At 47.1% G+C, this 18584-nt stretch overlaps 1 protein-coding gene and 1 pseudogene across 13 annotated transcripts in view, besides 3 other annotated features; both read left to right on the plus strand.

Annotated features, from left to right (window-relative positions):
* On the plus strand, positions 4913-8251 carry LOC653303 (proprotein convertase subtilisin/kexin type 7 pseudogene; annotated as a pseudogene).
* Positions 7113-7998: an enhancer, noted in NCBI's record as "H3K27ac-H3K4me1 hESC enhancer chr11:117008445-117009330 (GRCh37/hg19 assembly coordinates)". NCBI's record gives its function as "activates a minimal SCP1, AML or CMV promoter by ChIP-STARR-seq in primed H9 embryonic stem cells {active_cell/tissue: H9 hESC(primed)}" and the evidence as "EXISTENCE:reporter gene assay evidence [ECO:0000049][PMID:30033119]".
* Positions 13671-18584, plus strand: part of PAFAH1B2 (platelet activating factor acetylhydrolase 1b catalytic subunit 2) — a 33887-nt gene continuing 28973 nt past the window's right edge. For 11 of the 13 annotated variants that reach the window (NR_110269.2, NR_110268.2, NR_110282.2 and 8 more), the window contains exon 1: positions 13671-13802. Coding sequence is in view for 2 of the 13 variants with exons in the window: in XM_017017840.2 (XP_016873329.1) it covers positions 14491-14522 (32 nt within the window). In the remaining 11 variants the exon portion in view is untranslated. Of the gene's footprint in view, positions 13803-13963; positions 14523-18584 lie in introns of those variants that run through there. The other 2 variants (XM_017017840.2, XM_047427044.1) reach the window with 1 other exon arrangement.
* Positions 13881-14200: a silencer, noted in NCBI's record as "silent region_3931". NCBI's record gives its function as "represses an Ori minimal core promoter by ATAC-STARR-seq in GM12878 lymphoblastoid cells {active_cell/tissue: GM12878}" and the evidence as "EXISTENCE:reporter gene assay evidence [ECO:0000049][PMID:35858748]".
* Positions 14751-14930: an enhancer, noted in NCBI's record as "active region_5565". NCBI's record gives its function as "activates an Ori minimal core promoter by ATAC-STARR-seq in GM12878 lymphoblastoid cells {active_cell/tissue: GM12878}" and the evidence as "EXISTENCE:reporter gene assay evidence [ECO:0000049][PMID:35858748]".

Below are 18584 nucleotides of genomic sequence, written 5' to 3' on the forward strand. Positions count from 1 at the left end.
TAATCCCAGCTACTCGGATGCTGAGGCAGGAGAATCGCTTGAGACTGGGAGGCAGAGGTTGCAGTGAGCTGAGATCACACCACTACACTCCAGCCTGAGTGACAGAGCATGACTCTGTCTCAAAAAAAAAAAAAAAAAAAAAAAGCCGGGCGCAGTGGCTCACACCTGTTATCCTAGCACTTTGGGAGGCCGAGGCGGGTGGATCACCTGAGGTCAGGAGTTGGAGACCAGCCTGGCCAACATAGTGAAACCCCGTCTCTACTAAAAATACAAAAATTAGCTGGGTGTGGTGGCAGGCGCCTGTAACCCCAGCTATTCAGGAGGCTGAAGCAGGAGAATTGCTTGAACCCGGGAGGGAGAGGTTGCGGGGAGCTGAGATGGCGTCATTGTCCTCCAGCCTGGGCGACAAAAGCAAAATTCTGTCTCAAAAAAAAAAAAATTAACCTTGACTTTACTCATCCATTAAACATTTACCAAGAAATATTTGTTGTGCCAGGCATTCCCTGGCACTGAGGCTACGAAGAGGTATAAGACGCTTGCCATAGAATAATTCATATTTAGTCAGGGAAAGAGACTTGTAATTAATTCAAAGAGAGAGATGGACATTATAATAGAAACACCAGTGGACTCTTGGAATTCAGAAATCAGGATTTTTATCTTGAGAAAGACCCTGAAAAGGCTTATTAAATGGATTTGTATGATTTTTTTTTTTTTGAGACGGAGTCTCGCACTGTCACCTGGGCTGGAGTGCAGTGGCGCAATCTTGGCTCCCTGCAATCTCTGCCTCCAGGGTTCAAGCGATTCTCCTGCCTCAGCCTCCTGAGTGGCTGGGATTACAGGCACCCGCCACCATGCCCAGCTAATTTTTTTTTTTTTTTTTAGTAGAGACGGGGGTTTCACTATGTTGGCCAGGCTGGTCTCGAACTCCTGACCTTGTGATCCACCCGCCTCAGCCTCCCAAAGTGCTGGGATTACAGGCATGAGCCACCGCACCCAGACAGGATTTGTTTGTTTAATGAGGCACAAATTTGAATGAAACTATCTTCAAGGTTGTTGTACAACAAAAGCAAAGCACTTAACCAGTAAGAGAGACCCAGATAACTACAACGGTTGTATGTTTTGTTTTTGTTTTTATTTTTGAGACAGAGTCTTGCTCTGTTGCCCAGGCTGGAGTACAGTGGGGTGATCTCGGCTCACTGCAACCTCGCCTCCCAGGTTCTAGAGATTCTGCTGCCTTAGCCTCCTGAGTAGCTGGGATTATAGGTGCGTGCCACCACACCTGGCTAATTTTTCGTATTTTTAGTAGAGATGGGGTCTCACCAAGTTGGCCAGGCTGGTCTCAAACTCTGTCAAAGTGCTGGGATTACAGGAACGAGCCACCATGCCCAGGAAAAGGGTGTATATTTTGGCCTGGCATGGAATTAATTCTTTACTCTTTCTGAAGCACACTTTTACACTTATTACATATCTGAAGTGATGACTTAAAATATTCAGGCACGTTTCATTGGAAAATTACGTGGTATAGTGGGGTTCTCAAAAATGAGAAGTTCTCAAAGATCTCAAGAAAATTTTCTTGGCTGGACGTGGTGGCTCACGCCTGTAATCCCAGCACTTTGGGAGGCCGAGGGGGGTGGATCACATGAGGTCAGGAGTTCGAGACCAGCCTGGCCAACATGGTGAAAACCCATCTCTTCTAAAAATACAAAAATCAGTCAGGCGCGGTGGCACGCGCCTATAATCCCCGCTACTCAGGAGGCTGAGGCAGGAGAATCGCTTGAACCCAGGAGGCGGAGGTTGCGGTGAGCCAAGATCGCACCACTGCACTCCAGCCTGTGTAACAAGAGTAAAATTCTGTCCCAAAAAAAAAAGAAAAAGAAAATGTACAGATGCACACATCCACACAAACACAGAAAGGGTCTGGGTGGATATTTACCAACGTGTTATGGAACAACATAACATCTGGGTGCTTTTTTGTTTTCATTTTCATTCATCTGCTTTTCCAGTTTACCTTCAGTTAATTTGTATTGTTTATCTAATAAGAAAACCCACAAGGAATGTAACTAAACCATTCAAAAGCAAAGCAACCCCCAATAAAGACAAGTCCAGAGTATGGCCAGGATGTGGGTAGCCGGCATAGCGTGGAGAAAGGTCTAGAGTTAAGGAGGTAAAGCACTGTGAAGTTCTGACAATGGTGTGGTGGTGGATAATGGGAGGTGGCACTCTTCAGTGAGTGCAGTGAGAGGGGACTGAGCAGAAGGTCAGTAAGGACAGGGACTAGGGAGGACAGAAAGTGGTGTCATAGAAAGCCTGGAGCCTTTCCTTTCCTCCTCCTCAGTCTCTGTTACCCACACACAAGCCACCTCCCTAGAAGGAGGCGGTGGCATCTTAGCTGGTCTTCTGTCACCTGTCTCTTCCTGTCTCTAGTTCATCCTACCCACAGCTGTTAGAGTAGCCTTCTTTCAGCACTTTTTTTTTTTTTTTTTGAGACGGAGTCTCGTTCTGTCGCCCAGGCTGGAGTGCAGTGGCGCGACCTTGGCTCACTGCAAGCTCCGCCTCCTGGGTTCACACCATTCTCCTGCCTCAGCCTCCCGAGTAGCTGGGACTACAGGCACCCGCCACCACGCCCGGCTAATTTTTTTGTATTTTTAGGAGAGACGGGGTTTCACCGTGTTAACCAGGATGGTCTCGATCGCCTGACCTCGTGATCTGCCCGCCTCAGCCTCCCAAAGTGCTGGGATTACAGGCGTGAGCCACGGCTCCTGGCCCTTTCAGCACTTTTAAAAAAAAACTCTGTCCTGGCTGGTTGCATGGCTCCAGCATGTAATCTCAGCACTTTGGGAGGCCGAGGGGTGGCTGCGGATCACAAGGGTAGAGTTGAAGACCAGCCTGGCCAACACAGTGAAACCCCGTCTCTACTAAAAATGCAAAAATTAGCTGGGTGTGGTGGCAGGCACCTGTAATCCCAGCTACTCAGGAGGCTGAGGCAGGAGAATTGCTTGAACCCAGGAGACAGAGGTCGCAGTGGGCCGAGATCGCACCACTGCACTCCAGCCTGGGTGACAGAGCTAGACTCTGTATCAAAAAAAAAGAAAAAAAAAAAAAGAGCAACCAAAAAAAAAAAAAAAAACAACTCTGTCCTTGCTCAGTCATCTATAATAGGTCTCAGCTGCTTATTTAAAATAAAAATCTTTAAAGCCCTTCCCATCCCATCCTGGGTTACCCAGCTCCTACTTTCAGTACCTCTCTGAGCTGCTGCATCTGTAAAATGAACATATTGTACTCTGCCTTGTATACTGGAATAATTTTTTTTTTTGAGACAGGATTTCACTCTGTTGCCCAGGCTAGAGTGCAGAGGCACAATCATGGTTCACTGCAGCCTCAACTTCCTGGGATCAAACCATCCTCCAACCCTCAACCTCCTGAGTAGCTGGGACCACAGGTACTTACCACTATATCCAGCTAATTTTTAAATTTTTTGTAAAGATGATGTCTCCCAGGCTGAAGTTATCCTCCTGCCTCAGCCTCCCAAAGTGCTGGGATTACAGGAGTGAGCCACCATGCCTGGACTGGAATAAATTAATGGAAGAAAGGGTGCTTTAAAAAGAATTGTTCTCATTGCAACCTAATTTCTTAGTAGTCCCCAGTTGAGTCTTCCACTTCAGTATTTTTTTTTTTAATAATTGTAGATTTACAGGACATTGCAAAGAAATGTACAAGGGAAGTCCCATGCACCCTTCTCCCAATCTTAATGTTTCACACAATTAAAGTATAATATAAAAAACAAGAAATTGACATTGGTCCAATCCATAGAGCTTATTCAGAGTTCACCAGATATACATGCTGTCAATATTTTTGTTTGCGTGTGTGTAGCTGTATGCAATTGTACCACATGTAGCCTTGCATAACGACCACCACAACCAAGATCCAGAACAATTCCATTATCACAAGACTCCTTTGTGTTACCCCTGTCTGGCCACACCCATCCCCTCCCTGTGTCCCTGGCCCTTGGCACCCATTTATCTTTTATGCATCTCTGCAGGTATGTTATTTCAATGAACGTCATGTAAATGGAATTGTGCACTATACATTCTTTTTCTTTTTCTTTCTTTCTTTTTTTTTTTTGAGACAGAGTCTTGTTCTGTCACCCAGGCTGGAGTGTAGAGGCATGAGCATGGCTCACTGCAATCTCCACCTCCCAGGCACAAGCAATCCTCCCACCTCACCCTCCTGGGTACCTGGGACCACAGGTGCACACCATCTCGCCTGGCTATATGCTTCTTTTGAGATTGCTTTTTTCACTCACATAATTTGCTTGAAATTTATCCACCAGCATTAAAAAAAAATTAATTGTGCATCATCTTCAGTGAGATGTGTGCATTTTGTCTTTGTTCATGCCTTTTCCACTGCCTAGAATGCCCTCTACCAACCCTCTCTACCAATCTGTATTCATTTCCTTCAGTGTGTCTCACTGCTGTGTGCCTAAACCCATCTGACTTATTTCTCTTCCCTTATCAATTATGTATATTTCCCATACCATATCATTTTCCACTTGCAGGTAGGAGACAGGGACCACGCCCATCTTATCTTTATATTCCCAGCATCTAGTACAGTGCCTGAAATGGAGGAGGTACCCAGTAAATAATGTTTTGGATGAATGAATGATTGAAGTTGCTCTGCTGGATTCTTATATTGTGTCTTGGGTATGTGTCGTCTTCCCAACTGCACTCGAAGCTACGTTGTAAACTTGAGAGCAGCAGCTCCATTCCATTTACTAGTATAGGCGAGGTCCCAGTTAGGGTTGCCGTAGATGTTTGTATGTGGCTTCAGTGAGCGTGTGTCTTTGTGTACGTGGGGGTGAAGTGAAGGCGTGTTTGTGGGCTGGTTTCCCAGCTGCCCAGCCTGACTTTCTACAGTCAGCAGGATGGACCTGGAGATGTCAGGGCTGAAGACCCTGGAGCATGTGGCAGTGACAGTCTCCATCACTCACCCACGGCGCGGCAGCTTGGAGCTGAAGCTGTTCTGCCCCAGAGGCATGATGTCCCTCATCGGCACCCCCGGCAGCATGGACTCGTATGTACACCTGCCCGAGGCCTGAGCAACCTTTTCAGCAAGGGCCTTTCCAGGGAAAAGAAATGGAAGAAGTGGATCCTGGCACTGTCCTAAACTACTGTGGCACTGGCTATCCCTGGCGGCTGGAAGCCTTTCGTCACATACCTTCTTCAAGCGCTAGGCCCTGCACCTCACATACATGTTCTCTAATCCTTCTAAGAACCCCCTAGATTAGACTTTGTAACCTCCTTTTACAAATGAGGAAACTGGCTGGGTGTGGTGGCTCACACCTGTAATCCCAGCACTTTGGGAGGTCAAGGCAGGAGAATCACTTGAACTCAGGAGTTCAAGACCAGCCTGGGCAACAAAGTGAGACCCTGTCTCTACAAAAAATTTAAAGATTAGCCGAGCATGGTGGTACATGCCTGTAGTCCCAGCTACTCAGGAGACTGAGGTGGGAGGATCACTTGAACCCAGGAAGTCAAGGCTGCAGTGAGCTGTGATCATGCCACTGCACTCCAGCTTGGATAACAGAGTGAGACCCTGTCTCCAAAAAAAAAAAGAAAGAAAAAGAAAACAAGTCATGGAGCTAGTAAGTGCCCAAGAGAACAAGAATAAACCTAGATCCGTGGGACTCCAAGCCTGTGCGCGCTCCATGCTTGCTTTTTCCACCACACCACGTTAACACAATTTCCTCCTTCCATGAGACCCCAGGGGAAAGGGGCACCTGAGAAGCCCTCGTGGCACCCTCCCAGGTTGTTTCCACGGCTACTACAGTAAGAAAGTGTTGCTGGGGGAAGGTCAGCTCTCTGGCCCACGCCTTCCACCTGTTTCTGCTGTGTTCTTTCCTCAGGGATCCCAACGGCTTCAATGACTGGACCTTCTCCACTGTGCGATGCTGGGGGGAGAGAGCCCGAGGGACCTACAGGCTTGTCATCAGGGATGTCGGTGAGTCTCGTGCCCTCACACCAGGCCCTACCTTTCCTGCTTGTTATCTGGTCCCTCTGCATCTCAGAGTCCCCACAGAAAGTGTCCCGTGTGCAATATATAGGGTTGCCATTGGACCAAGAGAGTTGATGCCAAGAGTGTGCCCATCCGTGAAATGGGCATTGCTCTCTGAAACTGTTCATTTATACTACCTCTCATATTCCCTGGAGGAGTGACCCATCCATCTTTCCTCAGGATAGCAACAAAAAGTCCTTGTCGAAACCACATTTCAAGTCCTTTTACGTATAACCATCCTTCGGCAAGCCCCGGTAGGCAGGTAAGGGCAGGACTCATTTCACCATTTTTTTTAAACTGGCCCAGAGGTTTGAGGTGACTTGTGGAAGGTCACCATATCAGTGAAGGCCACAATATCCATGAATTGTGAATATCTTTAGTATCAGCCTATAGACTGGAAATTGAGCTCCACCCTCCCATCCTCCAGTCAGTTAGGTATTCTCTAGGCCAGTGGTTTTCAAAGCTTTCTTTAATTTGGTGGAAAGACATTTTTTTCTAATCCCAGCTGAACCCCCAAAATACGGGAGAGAAAAGCAAGACTCTGCTTTGGAGTACAGCCTTTCAACCCTTTCCATCCCTAAGGGCACCCAGTGAGGCCCTTCTGCAGAACCTGGGGTCAGTGGGACACAGTGAGGCAGCTCCTGGAGCAGACCATGTGGCCTGAGCCCCTTTGGGTGGCAGGGCGGGCAGGGCCTCTGCTGTCTGGCATGGCTGACAGAGGGGCGTGGCTCACGAGCTGCCCCTTGCTGCCCTAGGGGATGAGTCATTCCAGGTCGGCATCCTCCGGCAATGGCAGCTGACCCTATATGGCTCTGTGTGGAGTGCAGTAGACATCAGGGACAGACAAAGGTGGGTAAAGCCGCATGTGTCAGAGGGAAGGCCAGTCACAGGGGAAGGGCTGCCTAGGGAGCCCATCGCCCTCTGAACCCCAGCTGTGCTTCCCAGTTCCAGCGTCAAGCTGGTAGATGGAGCCCCGGGCTGGGAACTCACAGTCTGGGCCTCTCCTTTTTGCTGTGGGGCTTCCCTGTCTTCACCTGTAAGGCAGGAAAATGGGTGAGGGCAGATGGTATAGGAACCATAGTCAGTGGGGCATCCTCACCTCTTTTCTTCTCCACAGGCTGTTAGAGAGTGCCATGAGTGGAAAATACCTGCACGATGACTTCGCCCTGCCCTGCCCACCGGGGCTGAAAATTCCTGAGGAAGATGGTTACACCATCACCCCCAACACCCTCAAGGTACTAGGGCCAAGACTCAAGCTGCGGGTAGATGGGACTGTCCTGTCTGGGGGATGGAGTTCTTAGTGTGTTTCTCAGGGTGACCTGCGGGGTGAAGGACTGGGAAGACCTGGGTCCCAGCAGTGGTTTCATAGCATTGCTCCTACCCTGCTAGCCTAACTCTTACAGGACAGGCCTTGTCGGGGGAGGGGGCAGAGGGAACAGTTTGGGTGAAAAAGGCAGTCCCTAGAAGGAAAAAGACTTTCTGAGCTCATTGTCCTGGACTGAGAAAGGCTGTAGGCTTCGGGAAACAGTGCCTCACGTAGGTGCTTGCCTCGGCCCCAGACCTTGGTGCTGGTAGGCTGTTTCACCGTCTTCTGGACCGTTTACTACATGCTGGAAGTATATGTGAACCAGAGGAATGTGGCTTCCAATCAAGTTTGTATGAGTGGACCCTGCCACTGGCCCTATCGAAGCCAGAAAGCCAAGGAGGAAGGGACAGAGCTAGAATCAGTGCCACTTTGCAGCAGCAAGGATCCAGACGAAGTGGAAACAGAGAGCAGGGGCCCTCCCACCACCTCTGACCTCCTTGCCCCAGACCTGCTGGAGCAAGGGGACTGGAGCCTGTCCCAGAACAAGAGCGCCCTGGACTGCCCTCATCAGCACCTAGACGTACCGCACGGGAAGGAGGAGCAGATCTGCTGACCTCAGGGCCTGACAGTGTGGGACAGGCTCTTCTTTCCCAAAATTAGGGAGCTCTTGACAGAAAGCAGTTCTGATGCTTACATCTGGAATCTGAGGCATCCTCTGACTCCACTCAAAGAGGGTGAGGGCCTTCTTAAGATACAAATGGCGGAGGATTGCTGCCAGAGAAGTCTGGTCAGAGCCACAGGGTCTGCCTCCAGCCAAACGGGAGCTTTTGGTGAGAAGGTGTTGGACAGGGGATTGGCGCCCCCTTTGGGTTGGCCTCCATCCTCTTTTTTTTTCCCCTTAACACTATCCGCCTGGAAATGGGCTGCCTCTCTTTTTTTTTTTTTTTTTTTTTGAGACATAGTCTCGATCTGTCCCCCAGGCTGGAGTGCAGTGGCGTGATCTTGGGCAAGCTTTTGTGTTCTGTGTCATTTTTTTTTTTTTTTTTGAGATGGAGTCTCACTCTGTCGCCCAGGCTGGAGTGCAGTGGCGTGATCTCGGCTTACTGCAAGCTCCGCCTCCCGGGTTCGTGCCATTCTCCTGCCTCAGCCTCCAGAGTAGCTGGGACTACAGGCACCCGCCACAACGCCTGGCTAATTTTTTGTATTTTTTAGTAGAGACGGGGTTTCACCGTGTTAGCCAGGACAGTCTCAATCTCCTCTTGATCTGACCTCTTGATCTGCCCACCTTGGCCTCCCAAAGTGCTGGAATTACTTGCGTGAGCCACTGCGCCCGGGCGCCTCTTTTTTTTTGAGGTGAAGTTTCGCTCTTCTTGCTTAGGCTGGAGAGCAATGGTGGATCTCGGCTCACTGCAACTTTTGCCTTCCAGGTTCAAACGATTCTCCTGCCTCAACCTCCGAAGTAGCTGGGATTACAGGCATGTGCCACCACGCCCAGCTAATGTTGTATTTTTAGAACAGACGTAGTTTCTCCATGTTGGTCAGGCTGGTCTCAAACTCTGGACCTCAGGTGATCCGCCAGCCTTGGCCTCCCAAAGTGCTGGGATTACAGGTGTGAGCCACCGCTCCTGGCTGGGCTGCCTCTTTAATACCATCATTTGAGTTCTCTAAACGTGAATTCTTTCTAAGAAAACCCTCAGAACAACAAATATTTACTGAGCACCTACAGGTATGCCGTATACTGTGTGAGCAGCTCCAAGAGAATTCCAAGGTAAATTCGCAATGTAAACATCATTTTATATGAGGACAAAATTATCTTGGATTATATATGCCTAAAGTAATACACACTTAGTGCCACTTGACAGCACAAGTTACTTGAAAAATTACTTGACATACAATATTAAACAGATCAACAAGACAGAAGGTTAACAAGGATATCCAGGACTTGAACTCAGCTCTGCACCAAGCAGACCTAATAGACATCTACAGAACTCTCCACCCCAAATCAACAGAATATACACTCTTCTCAGCACCACATCACACTTATTCTAAAATGGACCACATAATTGGAAGTAAAGCACTCTTCAGCAAATGTAAAATAACATAAATCACAACAAACTGTCTCTCAGACCACAGTGCAATCAAATTAGAACTCAGGATTAAGAAACTCACTCAAAACCGCACAATTACATGGAAACTGAACAACCTGCTCCTGAATGACTACTGGGTAAATAATAAAATGAAGGCAGAAATAATGATGTTCTTTGAAAGCAATGAGAACAAAGACACAACGTACCAGAATCTCTGGGACATATTTAAAGCAGTGCATAGAGGGAAATTTACAGCACTAAATGCCCACAAGAGAAGGCAGGAAAGATCTAAAATCAACACCCTAACATCACAATTAAAAGAACTAGAGAAGCAAGAGCAAATACATTCAAAAGCTAGCAGAAGGCAAGAAATAACTAAGATCAGAGCAGAACTGAAGGAGATAGAGACACAAAAAACCCTTCAAAAAATCAATGAATCCAGGAGCTGGTGTTTTGAAAAGATCAACAAAATTGATAGACCGCTGGCAAGACTAATAAAGAAGAAAAGAGAGAATAATCAAATAGATGCAATAAAAGATGATAAAGGGGATATCACCACCAATCCCACAAAAATACAAACTACCGCCAGAGAATGATATAAACACCTCTACGCAAATAAACTAGAAAATCTAGAAGAAATGGATAAATTCCTGGACACATACACCTTCCCAAGACTAAACCAGGAAGAAGTTGAATCTCTGAATAGACCAATAACAGGCTCTGAAATTGAGACAATAATTAATAGCCTACCAACCAAAAAAAAATCCAGGACCAGACAGATTCACAGCCGAATTCTATTAGAGCTACAAAGAGGAGCTGGTACCATTCCTTCTGAAACTATTCCAATCAATAGAAAAAAAGAGACTCCCTAACTCATTTTATGAGGCCAGCATCATCCTGATACTAATGCCCGGCAGAGACATAACAAAAAAGAGAATTTTAGGCCAATACGCCTGATGAACATTGATGTGAAAATTCTCAATAAAATACTGGCAAACCGAATCCAGTGGCACATCAAAAAGCTTATCCACCACAATCAAGTTGGGTTCATCCCTGGGATGCAAGGCTGGTTCAACATACACAAATTGATAAACGTAATCCATCACATAAACAAAACCAATGACAAAAACCACATGATTATATCAATGCAGAAAAGGCCTTCGACAAAATTCAGCAGCCCTTCATGCTAAAAGCTCGCAATAAACTAGGTATTGATGGAACGTATCTCAAAATAGTAAGAGCTATTTATGACAAACCCACAGCCAATATCATACTGAATGGGCAAAAACGGGAAGCATTCCCTTTGAAAACCAGCACAAGACAAGGATGCCCTCTCTCACCACTCCTATTCAACATAGTGTTGGAGGTTCTGGCCAGGGCAATCAGGCAAGAGAAAGAAATAAAGGGTATTCAATTAGGAAAAGAGGAAGTCAAATTTTCCCTGTTTGCAGATGACATGATTGTATATTTAGAAAACCCCATTGTCTCAGCCCAAGATCTCCTTAAGCTGATAAGCAACTTCAGCAAAGTCTCAGGATACAAAATCAATGTGCAAAAATCACAAGCACTCCTATACACCAATAACAGACAATAACAGAGAGCCAAATCATGAGTGAACTCCCATTCACAATTGCTACAAAGAGAATAAAATACCTAGGAATCCAACTTACAAGGGATGTGAAGGACCTCGTCAAGGAGAACTACAAACCACTGCTCAGTGAAATAAAAGAGGACACAAACAAATGGAAGAACATTCCATGCTCATGGATAGGAAGAATCAGTATTGTGAAAATGGCCATACTGCCCAAGGTAATTTATAGATTCAATGCCATCCCCATCAAGCTACCAAAGACTTTCTTCACAGAATTGGAAAAAACTACTTTAAACTTCATATGGAACCAAAAAAGAGCCCGCATTGCCAAGACAATCCTAAGCAAAAAGAACAAAGCTGGAGGCACCACGCTACCTGACTTCAAACTATACTACAAGGCTACAGTAACCAAAACGGCATGGTACTAGCACCAAAACAGATATATAGACCAACAGAACAGAACAGAGGCCTCAGAAATAACACCACACATCTACAACCATCTGCTCTTTGACAAATTGACAAAAACAAGAAATGGGGAAAGGATTCCCTATTTAATAAATGGTGCCAGGAAAACTGGCTAGCCATATGTAGAAAGCTGAAACTGGATCCCTTCCTTACACCTTATACAAAAATTAATTCAAGATGGAGTAAAGACTTAAATGTTAGACCTAAAACCATAAAAACCCTAGAAGAAAACATAGGCAATACCATTCAGGACATAGGCATGGGCAAAGACTTCCTGACTAAAACACCACAAGCAATGGCAACAAAAGCCAGAATAGACAAATGGGATATAATTAAACTAAAGAGCTTCTGCATGGCAAAAGAAACTACCATCAGAGCGAACAGGCAACCTACAGAATGGGAGAAAATTTTTGCAATCTACCCATCTGACAAAGGGCTAATATCCAGAATCTACAAAGAACTTAAACAAATTTACAAGAAAAAAAACAAACAACCCCATCAAAAAGTGGGCAAAGGATATGAACAGACACTTCTCAAAAGAAGACATTTATGCAACCAACAGACACATGAAAAAATGCTCATCATCACTGGTCATCAGAGAAATGCAAATCAAAACCACAATGAGATACCATCTCATGCCAGTTAGAATGGCGATCATTAAAAAGTCAGGAAACAACAGATGCTGGAGAGGATGTGGAGAAAGAGGAACACTTTTACACTGTTGGAGGGAGTGTAAATTAATTCAACCATTGTGAAAGACAGTGTGGCGATTCCTCAAGGATCTAGAACTAGAAATACCATTTGACCCAGCCATCCCATTACTGGGTATATACCCAAAGGATTATAAATCATGCTGCTATAAAGATACATGCACACGTATGTTTATTGTGGCACTATTCACAATAGCAAAGACTTGGAACCAACCCAAATGTCCATCAATGATAGACTGGATTAAGAAAATGTGGCACATATACACCACGAAATACTATGCAGCTGTAAAAAGGATGAGTTCATATCCTTTGCAGGGACATGGACGAAACTGGAAACCATCATTCTCAGCAAACTATCACAAGGACAGAAAACCAAACACCGCATGTTCTCATAGGTGGGAATTGAACACTGAGAACACTTGGACAAAGGGCGGGGAACATCACACACGGGGGCCTGTCGGGGACTGCGGGGCTGGGGGAGGGATAGCATTAGGAGAAATACGGAATGTAAATGACGAGTTGATGGGTGCAGCAAACCAACATGGCACACGTATACCTATGTAACAAACCTGCACGTTGTGCACATGTACCCTAGAACTTGAATAAAAAAAAAAAAAAAAAAGAAAAATTACTTGACATATCTTGACATTTTAGGCTCCCAGGATTTTACAGTATTCTTAACAGGTTTTGTCAGCAAAATCAACCCCCACCCCCGCATCAGTTTAAGAGCCCTGGAAGGCTCTGCCTATTCACCAGCATAGAGCTGAGATCCTTAAAGGGCCAGTTCAGGGCACTGCTCCAGCAACCGTTGCGCTGCTATAAGCTTGAGCACATCTCTTGCCCCTCCTCTCTACTTTTATAGATCCTGCATTTATTTAGCATATAATCTTTTCAATATTGACTTTGTATATGTATGTCTTCCCCTAAACTGGATGTATCTTTTAAGGAAAAGCCTGGGGTTCGTCATCCCCCTATGTATCACCTTTACAGGCGGTCACCCAAAATCTCCACATTCATCATAGAAACAGAAATTCCACTAATAAATGTCAGGTACTGCCTCCTTAACCTTGGTCCGCTATTTCCCTCCCACTTTCAGCAGTCTGGTTTATTCCATGGGTGGAAGAGGAAGCCAAGTTGGCTGAGTGTGAAGGGAATGGCGTCAGTGTGACTTCACGCCACATCGTCCCGAATGCCAGCTCCACACTGCGGTGGCACGAACGCAGGATTGAGAGATGCAGCTGGAGTAAAGAGAGAAGCCCATGTCCCTCAGACGCCACACAAAATGGGGGTAACCGCGAGAACAAAGCAGGGTACCCAACGGGGTGTGGCGGGACACCTGGGCGCACGCCGCCAGCGCCCGGGAGAGCGAAGGCGGGGAGAGAGGAACCACGCTGAGGCGTGGCAGGATGGGGGCGGGACTTCCGGAAGCCATTTGGCTGAGTGGCAGGGGAACCGGAAGTGGAGGAGCTGCTGCTGGTGCTGGGGCCGGAGGAGGGACGCGCCGGAGCGGGACCGACGGGACCGAGCGAGCGACCGACGCGCCACCCGCCGACGCCTCAGCCGCTTGGGGCCCGCACGGACCCTCTACTTCAGTGAGTGCATCCAGGGTCGCAGGGAACCGGTGGCTTAGAGGCGGGGGTCGGAAGGGGCTGCGAGGTGTTATTGTGAGAGGCCCGCGACCTCCCCTCCCCCACCCTTGCGGCCCCTCCCCCCACGCCGCCCCATCCACTTGGGGGGGGCCTCGCGAGCGCGCGCCTTCTCTGCGGGCCCAGCGTCGGCTTCCCAGCAGCCGGCGCAGCTAGTTTTCGCTCTGAGAGCCCTTTCCCGATATTCCATACCGAAAGCTGGCGTTTCTCCTCAGCCGCCGGCCGGCGCCTCCACGGCCTTTCCCAGGAGGGTAGCGCGGCGGGCGCCCCGCCCCGCCCTGCCCTGCCCTGCCCTGCCGGGCCCACCCGCGGTAGGCCTTGCGCACCCCAGCTCGCCCCGGCTGGGCGCTGCAGCTCCTGCCCGGGTCTCCGCTGCTGCCTTTTCCCTTTATCACAGGGGTCTAACTTCTCACTCTTCTCTCCCCTCGCGTCTGGTCGGAGGCCAAAACCAGTTACTCCGTTGTGTTTTTACCGAGCACTTTTCCCTCCTCCTTTTGTTGAAAAATTTCAACTCTTTAGAAACTTCTCCGTTGCCTCTTAGGATGTGTTTATTCAAAAGTTGCATAGACCGTCACCACTCGGAAGGGATTATTTCTTGGAAGGCTTTCCAGCCCCCATCTCATCTTAGACATGAATGTGCTCGGAGCGGCTGGTGACCTGCCCAAGGTCAGCCAGCTAGATAAACCTGTCAGCGGAGAGGTTTGGGGGGATGTTTTTTTCCTGGCTCACCGTCCGTTTGCCAGATCCGTGCCTTCTGGTCTACAGGTTTGATTGACCCGTTGCGTGGTGACTCATGCTTCTGCTTTTCATAGCTCGCAGGCCAGCGTTGCTTTTCAGAATTTATACACAAACAAGAACTAACACTCGGAGCTTTCGCCTCTTTGTAGAGCTTACCCGTAGAGAAAGGAAAGACCACCCGGATCCACCCTAGGACCTCATTTTGTACAGCTTGAAATTATGGGAAGGGGTTGGGCCGGGGGTAAAGGTGTGGAGAAAGTGGAAGGAGAAAGTGCTTAATTAAGATTGTCTTTGCCTTGGATGTGCCTTGTGTCTTTGGCTTCTTCTGGGCACATTGTTCTGACATAAAGGTTGCCTCCTTGTGGGGGAGAAGGGGAGGATTAGTTTGTTGGCTTGGGCATTTGATCATAAATTATGGAGGTGCTGGACCGGAGGAACCACCCACCAGCCCACGGAGGCTACCGGGCATTCAGGATAAGGGCCGCCTTCTTCTTCAGAATAACCATACCCACTCCCTCTGAAACAAAGTGGAGAGTCTTAGGTCTGAGTGGAAACTCTAAATCTTTTAATTCTTGGTTCAACTTTCTTCATCTGTTTTCCTGGTTCAGACTAAAACATCTAACTCAGCTGGAGAAGTTATAACGCTTTGTTGTTGGACGTGGTTTCTCATTAAATACATTGCACTATGCTGGTATAAGCACTTGGAAATTCTAGTGCTGTATTGTCATAGTAAGTAGAGAATATAGAAAAGGCAGGAAAATCGTGCAAGTCGGTTACTCCTCGTCTTCCCAGAGAACTCACTTTAATGGACAACAAAGCTTCCCCTGGAGTACAGTCTGTTGTGGCAAATTAACAAAACTTGTTCTTCAGACCTTTTATTTGCATTCTGCTTGGTCTTTCTTTCTTTTTTTTTTTTTTTTTTTGTGTGTGTGACGGAGTCTCAGTCTGTCGCCCAGGCTGGAGTGCAGTGGCGCGATCTCTACTCACTACAACCTCTGCCTCCCGGTTCAAGCTTATAGGCATGTGCCACCACACCCAGCTAATTTTGTATTTTTTTTTTTTAGTAGAGACGGGGTTTCGCCACGTTGGCCAGGCAGGTCTTGAACTCCCGACCTCAAGTGATCCACCCGCCTCGGCCTCCCAAAGTGCTGGGATAACAGGCGCAGGAAACCCAAAGTCACTCAGAAGTTTGCGTCTTACCACTGGGTAGCTCTTAGTTCGTTCTTATTTTATGTGTCCATAAGAGCAGATAATTCTTCGTTTCAATTGGAAAGAATACAACAGCTGGAGCCTGAGCAACATGGCAAGACCTCGTCTCTACGAAATTTAAAAATTAGCCATGTGTGGTGGCGTGGGCCTGCAGTACCAGTTACTCTGGAAGGAAGAAATGGGAGGATCACTTGAGCCCAGGAGATCAAGGCTGCAGTGAGCTGTGTTACGCCACTTCACTCCAGCTAACGACTGACTGAGACCCTGTCGGGGTAAAAAACAAAAAACAAAACACAGCCGGCTGGGTGCTGTGACTCATTCCTGTAATTCCAGCACTTTGGGAGGCCAAGGCAGCAGGATCACTTGAGCCTAGGAGTTCAAGATCAGCCTGAACAATATGGTGAGATCCCCATCTATTGGAAAAAAAAAAAAAAAAGGTCAGGCAGCTATTCGGGAGGATCGCTTGAGTGCAGGAGGCGGAAACTGCAGTGAGCCATGATTTCTCCACTGTGCTTCAGTCTGGGCATCAGAGTGAAGCCCTATCTCAAAAAAAACAAAAAAAAAGCCGGCCGGGCGTGGTGGCTCACGCCTGTAATCCCAGCACTTTGGGAAGCCAAGGTGGGCGGATCACCTGATGTCAGGAGTTCGAGACCACCCTGACCAATATGATGAAACCCCGTCTTCACTAAAAATACAAAAATTAGCTGGGCATGGTGGCAGGCACCTGTAATCCCAGTACTCGGGATGCTGAGACGGGAGAATTGCTTGAACCCGAGAGGCGGAGGTTGCAGTGAGCCAAGGTCGCGCCGTTGTACTCCAGTCTGGGCAACGGGAGCGAAACTCTGTCTCAAAAAAAGAAAAGCCAGTTTAATTTTTATTTTTGAGACAGGGTCTTGCTCTGTCCCTGAGGCTGGAGTGCAGTGGCGCACCACCACCCCCAGCTAATTGTTGTGGTTTTTGTAGAGACACAGTTTCACCATGTTACCCAGGCTGGTCTCAAACTCCTGGGCTCAAGCAGTCCACCTGCCTTAGTGTCCCAAAGTGCTGGGATTACAGGCATGAGACACTGTACCCAGCCACAACAGTTTCTCTGATTTCCAAATTGTTTTAATCCTCTATATGCATAGTCTTCTAGGTTGTGCATTTCCAGCTTTGTTCTTAAAGAGGAGATTGTGTGAGTTTGTGGCTCAGTTTTTCTTTTCCTGGTGTTTAAAAATGTTACCAAGCCATGGGCATCAGTAAAACTGAAAGCTGCTTTGTAATAAGATTTTGATTGACAAAATAATACAAAATCAGAGTCAGAAGACACAAAGAAACACATTTCTGCTCAGATACTTTGCCATTGTAGGGGAAGAAGGATCACCTTGTATTCATAGCTATAGACAAAAAGACTGTGTAATTAGGAATATTTTGTGACCTCCCAGTTCTTCCTGCCTTGTAGCTTCAGATAAGTGACATTTTGTTCCTCGGTTTCTCTATGTGTATGCTTTTTTTATTTTCCCATGAAGAAATTTAGGGTTGAGATGGAAGTGTTTTGCTCAGGGTATCAGAATGCCATTAAATTTGGGTAGTAGAAAGTATAAGTGAAACAACTTAGTAAATTAGAATTAGAATTTATCTTTTTTCTTTTTTTTTTCTTTTTTTTTTTTTTAGATGGAGTCTTGCTCTGTCACCCAGAGTGGGGTGCAGTGGTGTGATCTCTGCTCACTGCAACCTCCACCTCCTGGGTTCAAGAGATTCTCATGCCTCAGCCTCCTGAGTAGCTGGGATTACAAGTATGTGCCACCCAACCTGGCTAATCTTTTGTATTTTTAGTGGAGACAGGATTTCACCATGTTGGCCAGGCTGGTCTCGAACTCCTGACCTCAGGTGATCCTCCTGCCTCGGCCCCCCCAAAATGCTGGGATTACAGGTGTGAGCCACCATGCCCGGCCTCTATGTAGTCTTTTCTAATCAGAACATAATATCATTTGCTCAAGAGTAGGCTTTGGAAGTCTGTCACTCTGGTTTCAAATCCCACCTGTCCTGTGTTGTTTACCAGCTCTGCTGTCATGGAGAAGTTTCCTTAGGTCTCTTTGAGCATCATGTTTATTTAAATAACAAAGCTCCTAGCACAGGGTCTGGTAAATAGTAAGTTCTTAATAAATGTTATTTTAGATCAGTTGTTTGTCTGTTGGATGAACTCTGAAAATCCATGCCTGTTTATTGAATTGTAGCTCTAAGCTGGGAGTGGTAGTGTGTGCCTGTAGTCCCAGCTACTTGGGAAGCTGAGGCAGGAGGATCACTTAAGCCTAGGAGTTTGAATCCAGCCTGGACAACATAGTGAGACCCTTCTCTTATAATAATAAAGAGATCGTATAATTTATATAGATCATTGGTCTTGAAAGAGTGTGTGTATGCACCTCTGGGGATGCATAAGATGATCCATTGGAATATAGGAAAAAAATCTCAGAACATTTATTTACTTAGAGACAAGGTCTCACTGTCACTCAGGCGGGAGTGCAGTAGCATGATCACAGCTCACTGCAGCCTCCACCTCCTGGGCTCGAGCGATTCTCCTCCCTCAGCCTCCCAAGTAGCTGGGATTACAGGCACGCACCACAACACCTGCCAATTTTTTTTTTTTTTTTTTTTTTGTATTTTTAGTAGAGATGGATTTCGCCTTTTTGGTCAGGCTGGTCTTGAACTTCTGACCTCAGGTAATCTACCTGCCTCGGGCTCCCAAAGTGTTAGGATTACAGGCGTGAGCCACTGCGCCCAGCCCAAGCAATCCTCCTGACT

This window comes from Homo sapiens, chromosome 11 (assembly GCF_000001405.40).
Source record: "Homo sapiens chromosome 11, GRCh38.p14 Primary Assembly".
NCBI classification, from domain to species: domain Eukaryota; kingdom Metazoa; phylum Chordata; class Mammalia; order Primates; family Hominidae; genus Homo; species Homo sapiens.